This window comes from Homo sapiens, chromosome 1, assembly GCF_000001405.40.
Source record: "Homo sapiens chromosome 1, GRCh38.p14 Primary Assembly".
Lineage (NCBI taxonomy): Eukaryota > Metazoa > Chordata > Mammalia > Primates > Hominidae > Homo > Homo sapiens.
Window position 1 is genome coordinate 240158305 of NC_000001.11, and position 17122 is coordinate 240175426.

Genomic DNA, 17122 nt, shown 5'->3' on the forward strand with positions numbered 1-17122 from the left:
GAGGTAGGAGAACCTTTCTGTCTTTTTCTGAATTTGCTATGACCTTGGGTAAGTCAACTGACCTCCCTGGGTGATGTTCAGAGCATTATTGATGTTATATAATTTATTCTTATCAATGCCACAAGGTTGGCTAGATATGTTTCCTCTCTAATGTATGATTAGGAAAGAGTCATTTAGACTTCAGTTAATTTTATTTTCTTCAAGGTCAACCAATAATTCAGACATCAAGTTGAATGGAAATGAGCTTCTAAATATAGGTCAAATACTTTTATAAAAATCACATAACTGCATCTCCCCCCCACCACGCCTGAATTTGATCCATCTCCCAATAAGCTCTCCCAAGCTACTACTTAGTTTCTATTGTTAGTATGTTACTGACCAAGTGCACCAGTCCTGCATTTTGTGTCGAACTGATTAATAATTTTCTTCTGAACCCCTAATGCATCCCCTATTTTGTCCACACTCTCATAAAGACTCTAGTTGATAAAAATGACAGGCTGAATATTGCTAATGTAATATTTCAATTCAGATGTAACATCTCTTAAAGATTGAGCTAATTAATACCATGTTTTTATGTTTCATATTGTATTTATTATTCTTTGGTAGCTTAATGATTACCCTTCTACATAATATTTATATATAGTCTTTTATCTGGAACCAATAAGAAGATTTGAGAAAAGTTATAAAACTGCTATAAAACATTATAAAAACTGTTTCCCGTTCAACCTGACTGCTTTGTTTCCCTTAATTCTGGGATTTTCCATCATTTGCATTATCTAATTGATGATAGAATAGTCTCATGGTACCATAAAGTAAAAGACTAACAAGAAATTTTAATTGGTTTGCTTGTCCAACTGCTACAAAATTATAAAGACTGCCTTTTTCTGTGTTTTTTTTTTAAATCCACCCTATGAAACTTATCTTTATGTCTGTCTTTTCTCTGATACGCTGGGGTTTAAAGTGAGCTGCTTTAGCCTCATTAGAAATAAAAGGTATCGTGTTAATGTCTTCTAGATGACCTTTAGTAATTTGAGAGATATTCTCCATTTTTGTAGGCTTGACACTCTATTTTTTCCCTGCTCTTCTAACTCCTGTATTCTGTGGCTTCTGTATTTGACAGTAGTAGCCCCACTCCCAGCAAACCTGAGCCGTCACATCTCTCTCTTTTGGTTATGGAGTTCAAAATGGGGTTCCTCACCCATCTAAGAGTCAGGTATTACTTTGTTCTTGCTGTGTGAGAAGTGGAAGGCTAGTGAAATGAACTAATAGGATCTTCAAAGTGAAACAGACCATATCCAACTTGTAGCCATGTCGGAAAGCCTGTCCACACTATCATTACAAGCTCAGAACAGAGTGTGGGGAGAACCTATTCTATTTAACCTAACCTGTTTGTGGGGAGCCAGCCCTGACTGCCATTTATTACTTTTAATTCTAATTACAAATAATGCATGCTCACTGAGAGGGTTTGAAAGTTTATTTTAAAAAGCCCAAGTCATGGTGGTATGAATGTTTTTGCTCTCTCTTGAGTGCTTAGATTTTCAATCCCTCTTGGAGCATATGAATTATTTGCATACATGGAGAGATATATATATATATCTGTGTATATATATATATATATATATATATATTTGTGTATATATATATATCTATATCTGTGTATATATATATATACACACACACACACACACACACACATACACACATATTCTTTTGGTCTTCAGTTTGTTCCTCATCTTAGAATTTTTTTTTTGTTATTAATAAAATAAGAGTGTTAACAAAACCTCTGGACTCAGGTAGTTTCATTGGTGAATTCTACCAAACATTTAAAGAAGAAATAAAACCAGTCTTAGTATAAACTCTTTCAGAAAACAGAGGAGGAATGAACACTGCCCAGCTTATTTTATGAGGCCAAAATTTCCCTGATACTAGAACCAGATACAGTCATTAGAAAACTATAGCTACTATCCCTGATAAATGTAAATATTTATTAATGAAATATTTGCAAATTTAATCCAGCAATGTATATAAAGGAATGCAAGGCTGGTTTAATATTTGAAAACCAAATGACATATCAAAACCAGGTTAGGTTGATTCCAGGAAAGTAAGGTCAGCTTCACATTTAAAAGCCACATATTTTTCATTATATACATTGTATGTATATATACATTATATATAATGTATATAATATATGTATATAATGTGTATATATATAATGATTCTCCCTAGAGATTATCAGAAAAGTGTTTGATAAACTGTATCACCATTCATGACAGAAACTCTTAGGAAACTTAGAAATAGAAAACTTGCTTACCCTGATAAAGGACAATTATAAGAAATCTACAGCAAATATCATTAGATGGTGAAATATTGAAGGTTTGTTCTTTTAAGTTTGGGAATGAGAAAACAATGCCACTATTACCACTCTGTCTTGTACTGAACAATTATTCCTATATGGTCTAGAAGATAAATAAGAAATTGGAGAAGAAATAAAACTGCCATTATTTATGATGATGTGATTGTATATGTAAAAATTTCAAATACATTTACAGATAAATAATTAGAAATAAAATTTACATAATTACTGAACACAAAATCAATATGTAAAACCAATGCCATTTCTGTATCAGCAAACAAAAATTTTAAAAATACTTAAAAAATAATACATTTAAGACAGTATTAAAAACATCAAATAATCTAAGAAGACACTGAACAGACATGTGCATGGCCTGTATGCAGAAGCCTAATAAACTTCATTGAGAAAAATCAGAAATGACAAGTATATGAACAGATTTATCATGTTTATGGTTTTGAATTTTTTTATTTCATTTCTCTCCAAACTAATAGATTAGATGCAATTCTAATCAATGTCTCAAGGGTGTGCGTGAATGCGTGCTTGTGTGCTTTAGTGGGATGTGACAAACTACCCCTAAACTTTATGTTGGAAGGGCCTAGAATAAGGAAGATGATCTTTAAAAAAATCAAAGTGGGAGGCCGAGGCAGGCGGAATACGAGGTCAGGAGATAAGAGACCATCCTGGCTAACAAGGTGAAACCCTGTCTCTACTAAAAATAGAAAACAATTAGCCAGGCGTGGTGGTGGGTGCCTGTAGTCCCAGCTACTCAGGAGGCTGACACAGGAGAATGGCGTGAACCTGGGAGGCGGAACGTGCAGTGAGGCGACATTGTGCCACTGCACTCCAGCCTGGGCGACAGAGGGAGACTCCACCTGAAAAAAAAAAAAAATACAAGTGGAAAGAGTTAATATTCCAGGTATCAAGACTTATTATAATGCAACAGTAATTAAGCATTCTAGTATTTGTGCAAGGACATAGAAACACACAGTGGAACAGAGTCACCTAACAGACTCTCATGTATATAGACAGTTAATGACTGACAAAAGTGGCACTGAAAAGCAGCTTAATACAGCCTTTTAAATAAATGAGATGGGGTCAACTGGGTAATCATATGAAAAAGATAATGAAAGTTGATATCCATCTCACAAATACAAAACTTTCTAGGATGATTATAAATGTTAATGTGAAAGATAAAATAACAAACCTTCTGGAAGATAATATGGGAGGTATCTTGTTGCTTATGGAGTAGGCAAAAACTTCTTAAACAGGACAATACCCTGGCTATAGAGGAAAAGACTGATAATTTGGAGTATATTGAAAGTAAATGGGCTGGGTGTTGTGGCTCACACATGTAATCCCAGCGCTTTAGGGGGCTGAGATGGAAGGATCTCCTGAGCTCAGGAGGTTGAGGCTGCAGTGAACTGTGATTGTACTCTAGCACTCAAGCCTGGGTGACAGAGCAAGACCTTGTTTCAAAAAAAAAAAAACAAAAAATTGTCAAAAGAAATTATGAAGAAAGCAAAAGCAGCTGGGCATGGTGGCTCATGCCTGTAATCCCAGCACTTTGGGAGGCCGAGGCAGGTGGATCACAGGGTCAGGAGTTCGAGACCAGCCTGACCAATATGGTGAAACCCCATCTCTACTAAAAATAGAAAAATTAGCCGGGCGTGGTGGCAGTTGCCTGTAGTCCCAGCTACTCAGGAGGCTGAGGCAGGAGAATAGCTTGAACCTGGGAGGCAGAAGTTGCTGTGAACCGAGATCGCACCACTGCACTCTAGCCTGGGTGACAGAGCAAGACTCCGTCTCAAAAAAAGAAAGCAAAAGCTAGTTATGAAACGATTCACATTTTCTTTTTTGTATGTTGATTTTGGTAAATTGCATTTTTTTCCTTAAAAATTATGTTTTATCTAATATTTTTAAATTTTGGTGTAAAGTTATTCTAATATCTTACTACTTTAAAGCCTGTAGGATCAATGTTATGTTTCCTTTTTTATTTCTGACATTAGTTATTTGTATCAATACTTGATTATACTTGCCAGAGGTTTTTAATATTATTAGCTTTTCCAGAAGACTTCTTTGGAGGCTATTTATTAACACTTAAATCTGTTTCCTTCTTTCTCCCTTCTTTGGGCTAAATTGCTGGATCTTTTTCTCTCCTAAATTCTTTAGATGGATATTTAACATACTGATTTTTGTAACCTTCTATCTTTTTAATATATGCATTTAAACCTACAGATTTCTCTCTAAACATGACTAACTGTATCTCTAAAGTTATGGCAAATATTTATATTATCCTTCATTTAAAAAATATTTTAAAATGCTGACTCTGTTGTCTTTTTCAATAATGTGTGATTTAGAATTGTATTGCTTGATTTCCAAACATGGAGACTTTGTTTTATCTTCTTTTATTATTGATTTCTAATTTAATTCATTATATTAAGAGAAAACATACTCTTCATTTCAGTATGTTGCCATTTATTGAGATTTACCGAAGATGTGATCAGCTTTCATCAGTGTGCTGTGTATGCTTGAAAAGAATGTTTTAGGTTAAATGTTTTGCTTCAGTCCATTAGGTAAATTGCTGATTATGTTGTTCAGATCTTCCATATCCTTACTTTTTCTTTTCATTGTAGCAGCTATTGAGAAAGTTATTGCTACTATGTTTGTGGACATGTGTTTTTCCTTAGAGCTCTGCCAATTTTTGCTATGTGTGCTTTGAAGCCTTGTTATTTGAAGCACGCATATTTAGAATTATTTATTTTCCTTATGAATTACATTTTTATCAATAGAAGACTCTCACTTTGTTTCTTATGATGCTTTTTGCTGTAAATCATTATCTGTTATTAATATAGCTATACTTGCCTTCTTTAGTTTAAAATTTACATGTTATATCTTTTTACTTTCTAGTAATCTTAATCATTTTTATACCTTTTCATTTGTATCTTCAATAAAGAGCGTAGGTTTGGAGCTCATTTTTTATCTTGACAGTCTTTTGTTTTTTACTGAAGTATAACTAAGTCCATTTACATTTAATACAATTGTTTAAATGCTTGGATTTAAAGTACTATTTTATTGTATATTTTCTATTTGTCTTATCTGTTCTATAGTCCTTTTCCTTTTGTGTCTTTTGGATTTATCAATTACTCTTTACTATTTAATTGTTCTCTCTGGTATTTTAAAAACTGTAATTTTACCAACTATCTTTTATTATTATTATTTTTATTTTTATTATTAAGACAAGGTCTCCCTCTGTCACCCATGGTGGAGTGCGGTGGCATAATCATAGCTCACTGCAGCCTTGAACTCCTGGGCTTAAGCCATCCTCCCACCTCAGCCTCTCAAGTAGCTAGGACTACACTACAGGGGTGCGTCACCACCCCAAGATAATTTTTATGTTTATTTTTAAATTTCTAAATTTTTTTGTAAAGGCAAGATTTTACTATCTTGTCCAGGCTGGTCTTGAACTCCTGGGCTCCAGCAGTCTTTCCGCCTTGGCCTCCCAAAGTGCTGAGATTACAGACCTGAGCCACTACACCTAAGCTTATCTTTTAAAACTGCATACATTTTTGCCTTTTTTGTTTTTTGGTACTTTCACCTATTTCCTGACAAATTAAGCAACCTTAAGACCTGTTTCCAGACAAATTAAGCAACCTTGAGATTCCCTAACTTAATAAATTTCACTTCCAAGTTACACATTGTTATTTTATTTTAATTCTTTCTATATTATCTCCACAGGACATTAATACTGTTTATATGTTTAGTATTCATTTAATCTTTTTTCTTTGTTCTTTCTTTCTGCATCTTCAGGAATCTGTTTGGGATTATTTTCTTTCAGCCTAAAGAGCATCTTTTTGTATTTCCTTTAGTGCAAGCCTGCTAGGTGACAAATTCTTTAGTGTTTTTGGTCTTAAAATAGGTTTCTTTCATTTTCTTCTTGAAAAATATTTTTACAAGGTGTAGAATTCTAGTAGGCAGTTTAAAAAAGATCATTACACTATCTTCTAGCTTTCAATGACACTAACTTCTTAACAAAAATAATCTGTTTATTCATTCATTGAAGGTCATCTATTTGTGGCTGCTTTAAAGATGTTATTTTTAGCTTTTTTATAGCAGTTTTACTGTATTCACCCACTTATAGCATTTATAGGGCTTTGAAATCAGTAGTAGTTTGATACTTTCTTTCATTTTATGTTTTCAGGAATGATCTTTCTATAGATAATGCTTCTAAGTTATTCTCTTTATGATATCTTTTTTTCTGGGACTCCAATTATACATAAGTTAGAGTTCTTCACTGTATCTTTTATCCTCTTATTTTTTCTGCAATATTTCCCATCCTTTTGACTCCATTTCTTCATTCTGGATTGTTTCTTTTTATCCTTCTTTGAATGCACTAATTTTTTATTCAGCTGCTTCTAATCTACCATTAAGTAGATCTGTTGAGGTTTTAATTTGGCTATTTGTCAGTTCTAGAATTGCTCAGTTTTTAAAATTATTTCTAGTTATCTGTTGGCATTTTTTCTTTCTGTTTAAAAATTTAAATCAGGGTCTCATGTTGTTTCCCAGGCTGAAGTGCTGTGGTGCGATCATAGCTCACTGCAGCCTCAACCTCCTGGGCTCAAGTGATCCTCTAGCCTCAGCCTCCCAAGTAGCTGGGACTACAGGTATGGACACCACACCTGGCTAGATTTTAAAATTTTTTGTAGGGACGGGGTCTCTCTGTGTTATCTAGGCTGGTCTCAAACTGCTGGACTCAAGCAATCCTCCCAACTCGACCTCCCAAAAGTGTTGGCATGACTGGCATGAGCCACCACTCTTTGCTGAAGTCTATTTTGTCTTTTATCTTCTTGGAGAGATTTAACATAGCTATTTTAAAATGTGAGTCTGATAACAATCTAGGATCCCTGTGTGTCTTTTTCTGTTGTCTGTTTTCCTATTGATTTTTGTTTATTTTTTATTTATGTCTCCATTTTTCTATTTTTTTTTTTTATTTTATGCTGTGCAAATGCTTAGTTTGATCTCATCTTTTCCCAGATAGGATTTATGTTTGCTTTTGCCGGGGACCTGGGGCACTAATATTCCAAGATCACCTTGAGGTATGTTCAAAGATTTAGATGCTTTGAAGTTGAATTTTAGCCCTGAAAATGTTCGACCTGCCTTCTTCTAGTTAATCTTTGTTACTAGTGTGATGGAATTTTAGATTCTAACCCCAAGTGAGAGGTGTTGGTAGGGCCAGTCTCTCTTAGAGGTCAGGGTCCTCCAGTCCCTTTCCCCGGATAATGTGTCCACAAACTCTCACAGGAATCCTGTAGGGTGTTGAGGGGTGGGGGCAAAAGGATCCCCCATGAGCCAACCTCCGCTCACTAGGTCTGTGTTCTCCCTTGAATCCTGGCTTGCTAATTTTTTCTTAATTTAATATTCCCTTTCCTCTTCCCTTCAAGATATATATAAACTCACATTTATGTGTTCCATGTTTTTTATATATATGTATATAAATATAAAATATATATATATAAATAAACGTTACCTCATTATATAATTATACGTTATGTAGCCATTAGCTCATGTATTATTATTATTAATTTTTTTTTGGAGACAGAGTTTCGCTCTTGTTGCCCAGGCTGGAGTGCAATGGCACGATCTTGGCTCACTGCAAACTCTGCCTCCCGGGTTCAAGCGATTCTCCTGCTTGAACCTCCCGAGTAAGTGAGATTGCAGGTGCCAGCCACCAAGCCCAGCTAATTTTTGTATTTATAGTAGAGATGGGGTTTCACCACATTGGCCAGGCTGGTCTTCAACTTCTGACCTCAGGCGATCCACCTGCCTCAGCCTCTCAAAGTGCTGGCATTACAGATGTGAGCCACTGCACCCAGCCTCGTGTATTATATTTACAATATAAATTTATAGCCAAATACTTTCACTTGGCAACATACCATAAACAGATTTTACATGGCATTCAATGAGATGTGATTTTAATAGCTCTTGATTGTCCCACTATATGTACAAATTAAATTTTTTATTCTTACTGCTATTTTTGGAAACTCTACTTTTTTTCTTTTGTAAAAATGCAAGTAACATTGGAATAAATATATTCTAGTACATAAATATTTTTGCATATCACTGATATATTCTCCCCTTAGAGAAGACTTCTATGAGTGGAATTGGTGGTTCAAAACAGATGGGTTGACTGGGCGCAGCGGCTCACGCCTGTAATCCCAGAACTTTGGGAGGCCGAGGCAGGCGGATAACCTGAGGTCAGGAGTTCAAGACCAGCCTGGCCAACATGATGAAACCCAATCTCTACCAAAAATACAAAAATTAGCTGGGTATGGTGGTGCATGCCTGTAATCCCAGCTACTTGGGAGGCTGAGGCAGGAGAATCAAACCAACTTGGGAGGCAGAAGTTGCAGTGAGCCAAGATTGTGCCATTGCACTTGAGCCTGGGTGGCAGAGCAGGACTCCATCTCAAACAACAACAATAACAAAAAACAAAAAAAACCAAAAGGGATAGGTTTTTAAATTATTTTGATATTAAATTTTTCTGTAGAAAATTTGTGCCAATTTGTATCTCACTGGTAGTAATGTTAGTGCTTCTTTTAAGCACAGCTAAGAAAACACTCCTTTGTCATTTTTATTTTATTTTGGGTGGGGGGGACAGAATTTTGCTCTGACACCCAGGCTGAAGTACAGTGATCACAGCTCACTGCAGCCTCAAACTCCTGGGCTCAAGTGAATTTCCCACTTTGTCCTCCCAAAGTGCTTGGATTATAGGTGGGAGCCATAGTGCCTGGCCTATTTGTAAACATGTCAGAGATCTCAGTTCATCCTGGGGTTTAATCTTTTGATGTTATCTTATTATTCTTTTACATTTGTCATTTTACATTTGTCATTTTACATTTCCATTTTTAAATAAGCCCTTTTATTTAAAAGCCAACCATAGATGCTTTGGGCAATCACATTTATGTGTTCCATGTAGAGCTGTTTTAATGGCTATGTTATAGTGCTGTGTGAAGATTGTGGCAGAAATAGAAATTATAAGTGTGAAGATCATGCAATTATTTAAAAAATCTGTATTATTTATAAAACCATGTGCACTATGATTACAGCTACATAAAACATTCAAAGAAAATTTAGAAAATAGGCTGGGCACGGTGGCTCACACCTGTAATCCCAGCACTTTGGGAGGCCGAGGCGAGTGGATCGCTTGAGGTCAGGAGTTCGAGACCAGCCTGGACAACATGGTGAAACCCTGTCTCTACTATAAATAATTGGCCAGGCATGGTGGCACACTCCTGTAATCCCAGCTCCTGAGGAAGCTGAGGCAGAAGAATCCTTTGAATGAGCCAAGATTGCGCCACCGCACTCTAGCCTGGGTGACAGAGTGAGACTCTGTCTCAAAAGAAAATAAAATTTAGAAAATATACACAGTGGATGCTGTGGTATTATGATACTGATTAGTTATTGTTTTTCTTATCTTCCCCTCTCAAAACAATTCTATAGGGTTGTGCTATTATTTTTTAATAATTAAATGATTAACGCAAACCCAGATATTGTGAGTTCAATTCAGGCTACTGTCAGTAGATCTACCTTTTATCCAGCCAGTCAGTCATCTTATAAATGGTTCAAATGAGTTAAAATAAATGGACATCTCAGCTGGGCACAGTGGCTCACGCCTGGAATACCAACATTTTGGGAGGCTGAGGTGGAGGATCACTTGAGCTCAAGAGTTTGAGACCAGCCTGGGCAACATAGCAAGACTCCATCTCTCCAAAAAACAAAAACAAAAAAGCTAGGCATCATGGTACTCACCTGTAGTCCTGGCCACTTGGGAGGCTGAGGTGGGAGGATGGCTTGAACTCAGGAATTGAAGGCTACAGTGACCTGTGATCACACTACTGCACTTCAGCCTGGGCCACAGAATGAGACCCCATCTCTTTAGGTAATTAAATAAATACGGCCTTTTTGTTATTTCCCCAATAGTAATAATGTGTTTATTGCTACCTAGTCCAAAAAGTATTTACAATGATTAGGAAAAAAAGATATAGTAAGAAAATAAAAAGGTGCTATTTTAGTGAAAAGATTAAAGAAAAGAAAAAACAATACTGAAGTGGAACCAGGAATGAGACTAATCAAAAACACATATTCCAGAATCTCCAAACATGTGGCAGGTGGGCCATATGTGAATTTCACTGTTTTTTTAAATAACAAAAATGAAAAGCACATCTGATCAACACAATTTATATTGTCCCTGAGATTAAAAAAAAGAAAACACAAATGGCCAGGTGTGGTGGCTCATGCCTGTAATCCCAACACTTTGAGAGGGCCAGGCAGGTGGATCATGAGGTCAAGAGATCGAGATCATCCTAGCCGATATGGTGAAACCCCGTCTTTACTAAAAATACAAAAATTAGCTGGGCGTGGTGGCACATGCCTGTAGTCCCAGCTAATCTGGAGGCTGAGGCAGGAGAATCGCTTGAACCCGGGATGCAGAGACTCCATCTCCGTCTCAAACAAACACAAACTCAAAATACCATCCAACTATTTAGTTCTTTAGACAGAGCTGTGAAATTATAAGATCAGGAATAAATGTGTCTTCAGAGCCCTCCTACACGAGATATTCTGTAATGGGATGGGCATTTTCAGTAGTCTTCTGTGGACTTGGCAGTCTTGTCTCAGATATCACACCCAAGCCCAATTCAGTTGAGGCAATTCTTTTTGAGGTCAGTAGGACAAGGTGTAGAGCCCTCTGCTGGCCTGAGATAGATTTATCTACATAATCTAGGGATAGATTTTATTTGATTTGATTTGATATTGTTTTGTTTTGTTTTTGAGACGGTTTCACTGTGTCGCCCAGGCTGGAGTACAGTGGTGCGATCACAGCTCACTGCAGCCTCGACCTCCCCCCGGGCTCATGCATTCCTTCCGCCTCAGCCTCAAGTAGCTGGGACCACAGGAGTGTGCCACCACACTTGGCTAATTTTTTTATGTAAAATTTTTTTTTCTGTAGAGATAGTCTTGCTATCTCGTCCTGGCTGGTCTCCATCTCCTGGGCTCAAGTAATACTCCTGCCTCGGCCTTCTGAAGTGCTGGAATTATAGGCGTGAGCCACCAGCACACCTGACCAGGACAGATTTTAGAGTGGTTATAAAGAAATCAGTGAGCTGCATACTTCGAGGCAATTTTTATTTTTAATATTTTTTTCCCCTTCATGCAAACTGTGGCATCAGGTGGGAGATAGTACTTTATGGAATATCTGGGATATAGTTACCATATTTTGCTACTTTAATATGGGTCTGCTGGCCTTGATAGACAATTGAGCTGGGGCAGTGCTGATAGTTTCTTATTAAGAGAGGAACTTAAACTCAGATTAATTCCCACACAGATGGACATTCTGTCTCTACTCACAGATAAGCCAATCATGGAATGAGAATAGCAACAGTTCCTCTCAGACAGTAATAATCTAGGTTCTGCATTAATATACAGTCCATCCCTGGCGCCGACCAGAACCCGTGGACATGGTGAACCAGGTTATCAAGTGCAAGGCTGCAGTTGCCTGGGAGGCTGGAAAGCCTCTCTCCGTAGAGGAGATAGAGGTGGCACCCCTAAAGGCTCGTGAAGTTTGAATCAAGATCATTGCCACTGCAGTTTGCCATACCAATGCCTATACCCTGAGCAGAGCTGATCCTGAGGGTTGTTTTCCAGTGATCTTGGGACATGAAGGTGCTGGAATTGTGGGAAGTGTTGGTGAGGGAGTTGCTAAGCTGAAGGCGGGTGATAACTGTCATCCCATTTTACATCCCACAGTGTGGAGAATGCAAATTTTGTCTAAATCCTAAAACTAACCTTGCCAGAATATAAGAGTCACTCAAGGGAAAGGATTAGTGCCAGATGGTACCAGCAGATTTACTTGCAAAGGAAAGACAATTTTACATTACATGGGAACCAGCACATTTTCTGAATGCACAGTTGTGGCTGATATCTCTGTTGCTAAAATAGATTCTTTAGCACCTTTGGATAAAGTCTGCCTTCTAGGTTGTGGCATTTCAGCTGGTTATGGTGCTGCTGTGAACACTGTCAAGGTGGGGCCTGGCTCTGTTTGGGCCGTCTTTGGCCTGGGAGGAGTTGGATTGACAGTTATCGTGGGCGGTAAAGTGGCTGGTGCATCCCGGATCATTGGTGTGGACATCCATCAAGATAAATTTCCAAGGGCTAAAGAGTTTGGAGCCACTGAATGTATGAACCGTCAGGATTTTAGTCAACCCATCCAGGAAGTGCTCATTGAGCGGACTGATGGAGGAGTGGACTACTCCTTTGAATGTATTAGGAATGTCAAGGTCGTGAGAGCAGCACTTGAGGCATGTCAGCAGGGCTGGGGCGTCAGTGTGGTGGTTGGAGTAGCTGCTTCAGGTCAAGAAATTGCCACTCATCCATTCCAGCTGGTAACAGGTCGCACATGGAAAGGCACTGCCTTTGGAGGGTGAAAGAGTGTAGAAAGTGTCCCAAAGTTGGTATCTGAATATGTGTCTAAAAAGATAAAAGTTGATGAATTTGTGACTCACAATCTGTCTTTTGATGAAATTAACAAAGCCTTTGAACTGTTGCATTCTGGAAAAAGCATTCGAACTGTTGTGAAGATTTAATTCAAAAGAGAAAACCAGCGTCCATCCTGTCGTGATGTGATGGGAGCAGCCTAACAGGCAGAGAGAAGCGCCTCCTAGACCTTCAGCAGCTACTCCAGAGAATGGTGTGATGTGCGTCATTCATGAATCTCTGTAATCAAGGCAAGGATAATTCAGTCATGGACTGGACTCTCCTCCACATAAATAATTGCTAGCTCATTAAGGAATATTTTAACATAATAAAAGTAATTTCTACAAAAAAAATACAGACTATTGGACAATGAAATTTTCTTGCATATGGAAGAACCAGAAAAAATGTTGATCTGAAATATTTTAAGGTGGGAACCAAACCCTCATCTTACCTGTAAAAATCTCAGCGAAGCACTCTTAGAATGCCTACCTTTGAGCATTGTTATTTTCTGGTGGACACACTATGATAAATTATTTGTGGATTATAGCTCTGAGTTATTTTAGGTGTTGTTATTTATAACCTAGTGAAAAGATGGGGAAATAGCTGCTAAAAGTAACTTTTCTCTTTCTTAAGCTAGCAGGCCTGTAGCCTACTTTACGCCACTTTTAGGTTGTGTTTTTAAAGTTTCTCATATGCCTATGGTAGAAAGTTTGTTTTCTTTAATAGGAAGATACAATGTCATTCCGCAAAAGCCAAAACAGATCTGAAGAATTTAAGGATGTGGAGTGGAGTCATGAAAATGCATCCCTGCTTTAACCCAAAAATAAAACTGTGATTTGCTCTGTTAAACAATTCTTATCCATCCTGACCTTGTCCTTAATACTCACAGTATGTTGATTATTTATACTTGACATTCCTGAGAAAACAAGGGAATGTAGGATTTGGTAACTGGTAGCTAGAAACTCATATACCCTATTCGGGAAAATAACACATTTGTGAAATATTACACATACACATACACACACACACACACAGAAAAAGACATTTATGGATGGTTGAGGAAATATCACAGGGCAATTGTTAATTGAATGCAAAACTGGTTGACAAACAGCACAAATGCCAAGAAAACTCAGTTTGCTCAACTACTTATAGTCATGCAAAGAGCACAGAAAGATTTAGTGCTGGTTAAGTAGAGATGATGTGTAGGTGAGATAATGATTTTCAATTCCTCTGAAAAGGATTTTTTTAAAGAAATAAAGTGTGACTATTGTAATCAAACATAGATTTTTAAAATTCAAAACAAATAGTATTCATGGCATATTACATTTGAATATCACCATGTAATTTTCATAGTTCTTTTCACATATCATTTACTCTTCCCTCATGCAAGCTCCCCCAAAAAGACAAGGGACACATTTTTCCTGATTTACTGATGAGAATATTGAGGCTCCAAAAGGTGATGAGGTTTGCTTAGGGGGGAGCAATGAATATATCTTAGGAATTTTATCTATTCCATGTTTTTTCTTTAAATAGTTAATTACCAATAGGTTTAGACATACCAGATAACCTGATACCTTCCTTTTTCCATATGATACCCACAAAGTTTCCTTTTGGTTCCTTGGTAAACAAATGAAGAAAATGAGATTAGCAGCTACAGCCTCTGCCTATATTGACCAGCCATCTCTTTTATTTATTTTTACTTGATAAATGTGTTAATTCAGTAGGCAGCCAGTGGCCCTTTTTTTTGTTTTTTGTTTTTTGTTTTTTTTTAGATGGAGTCTTGCTCTGTCGTCCAGGCTGGAGCACAGTGGCCTGATCTTGGCTCACTGCAACCTCTGCCTCCCAGGTTCAAACAATTCTCCCGCCTCAGCTTTCCGAGTAGCTGGGACTACAGGCGCCTGCCACCACGCTCAGCTAATTTTTGTATTTTTAGTAGAAAAGGGGTTTCAACATGTTGGCCAGGCTGGTCTCGAACTCCTGATCTCAGGTGATCTGCCCGGCTTGGCCTCCCAAAGTGCTGGGATTACAGGTGTGAGCCACCACGCCCGGCCTCAAGTGGCTTTTATGTAGTCATCATAGCACTGTCCAGAGCTAGGGGAGATTTACAAGACCTGTGTCCACCCTTCTCATCCTGAAGTCGTTTGCAGTCAATTTGAGGAAACATGATATACACTCAGGACTAGGGGACAAGCCACTGTTTTGGATAGTACACCATTAAGTGTTGAAATGTGGGGTGACAGGTGTGCTGAGTTAGCTGTCCCATTCAGGAGTGGCCTTTCAGCAGAGGTGGGTCTGATTCAGGTGAAATGGGACTTCAACTAGATTTTTTAATGATTGATTAGACTCCTTGAGTGGGTAGAGCTGGAGAAGGCATTCTAGTGGCATGAAGCTTGGTTTAGGAAACAAGAAATGAATCTGGGAAGGAAGATGGTGGGAATATAGGAACGTTGAAATGATATTTAAGTTGAAGAGTTGGGATTTGATTCTGCAGACACGGAGGAACCATGGAAGAAATCTGTTTTGCTTATTTTCTGCTAGTGGAGCTACGTGATGAATGGGAGGCTTTGAGATTACTGTTACAGCCCAGTAATACATTACAGTTCTGAGGTGTGGTTCAAAGACAGGGGGACTGACCAGATACTTTTGTTTGTTTATATGAGGTTTTATAGAGTGCTTTTAGCATGCTTTGTATTTTGGTGAATGATGAAACTCAGTGAGATAGTTTATCCCCTTGGTTGTTGGTGCTACCTCTTTTATATGGAAAAAACTATGTCTGAGGCTGTTAGTAGGATGATGGCTCTCTAGGCAAAAGTCTTTTTGTGGTTGATCATGATGCCAGGTCTGGAGCCTCTCAGTCACTCCAGCCCTGCTTCTCTCCACCAACTCCCAGAGGAGCTGGTAGGCCAAGCATTTTTCTAAGCATGCTATAGATAGCATATTTTACACATGAGGAACCGAAGCTCAGGCTTAGAAGCATGCTGTTGTGGCCAATTTGGTTCTGCTACTCTGGAAAATATTAGGAGGGCAATGGCTGCAAAGATTTAAGATAGGCTGTTTTCTGGGGCTGTGTAGAAGAACTGTAGCTAACTGTAGCTAAAATAGGTATCATTACCACTAACTGGAGGGCGGTGAAGGATAGAGTGGAGAGGGCATTACATTTCAGAAACTTCTTTTCTTTCTGTTTTTTTGAGACAAGGTCTTGCTCTGTTGTCCAGGCTAGAGTGCAGAAGCATAGTCATCATTCATTACAGCCTCAAACTCCCAGGCTCAAGTGATCCTTTCACTTCAGCCTCCTGAGTAGCTAGGAATAAAAGTGTGTGCCACCATCCCTGGCTAATTTTTTAAAAATTTTTAAATATTCTGTAGAGGTGGGGTCTCACTGTGTTGCCCAGGCTGGTCTTGAGCTCCTGGGCTCAAGCAATTTACCTGACTTTGCCTCCCAAAGTGCTGGGATTATAGGCGGGAGCCACATGCCTGGCTACAGTTCAGTTGTTTTCTTAAGCCATCACAGTATCCATGTTACCTCTTAAGAACTGACTTGTCAATTTTATCATGTGCTGCTCTTGAATAAGTGCATCTTAGCTATCCCCAACAGCCTTGCATTTACTGTTTTTAAAAAAATTATTAAAAAAATTTTAACTGTTGCAAAATACACAGAACATTAATTTACCACCTTAACCATTTTAAGTGTCCAATTCAGTGTTGTTATGTATATTCACATTGTTGTGCAATCAACCTCCAGAATTTTTTCTTCTTGCAAAACTGAAAGTCTGTACCCGTTACATTGCAACAACTTCCTATCCCCCATCTCTCCAATCCGGGCAACCACCATTTGACTTTCTGACAATATGAATTTGACAATGTTATGTACCTCATATGGGTAGAATCATACGGTATTCGTCTGTTTGTAGCAGGCTTATTTCATTTAGCCAAATGTCCTCCAGGTTCATCCATGTGGTAGCATGTATCAGAGTTTCCTTCTATTTAAAGGCTAAATAATTTCCCAGTTTGTATATATATCACATTTTGTTTATCTGTTCATTCATGGATGGTCACTTGGGTTGCTTCCACCTTTCGGCTGTTGTGAACATGCTGTTATGAACATAGGTGTACAGATGTTTCTTTGAGATCCTGTTTTTAATTCTGTGGCATATATATCCAGAAGTGTAATTGCTGGATCATATAGTAATTCTATTTTTAATTTTTTGAGGAACTGCCATATATTTTCCATAGCAACAGTAT

General features: G+C 37.9%; 1 protein-coding gene and 1 pseudogene across 9 annotated transcripts in view; both read left to right on the top strand.

Annotated features, from left to right (window-relative positions):
* FMN2 (formin 2) overlaps positions 1–17122 on the top strand; it is a 383305-nt gene that overhangs the window by 66422 nt on the left and 299761 nt on the right. The window contains exon 1 of one of the 9 annotated variants that reach the window (XM_017001840.3): positions 7200–7446. The exons of the other annotated variants lie outside the window; for them this stretch is intronic. The gene's annotated coding sequence lies outside the window, so the exon portion shown is untranslated. Of the gene's footprint in view, positions 1–7199; positions 7447–17122 lie in introns of those variants that run through there. 9 annotated transcript variants of the gene reach the window in all.
* ADH5P3 (ADH5 pseudogene 3) lies at positions 11839–13226 on the top strand (annotated as a pseudogene).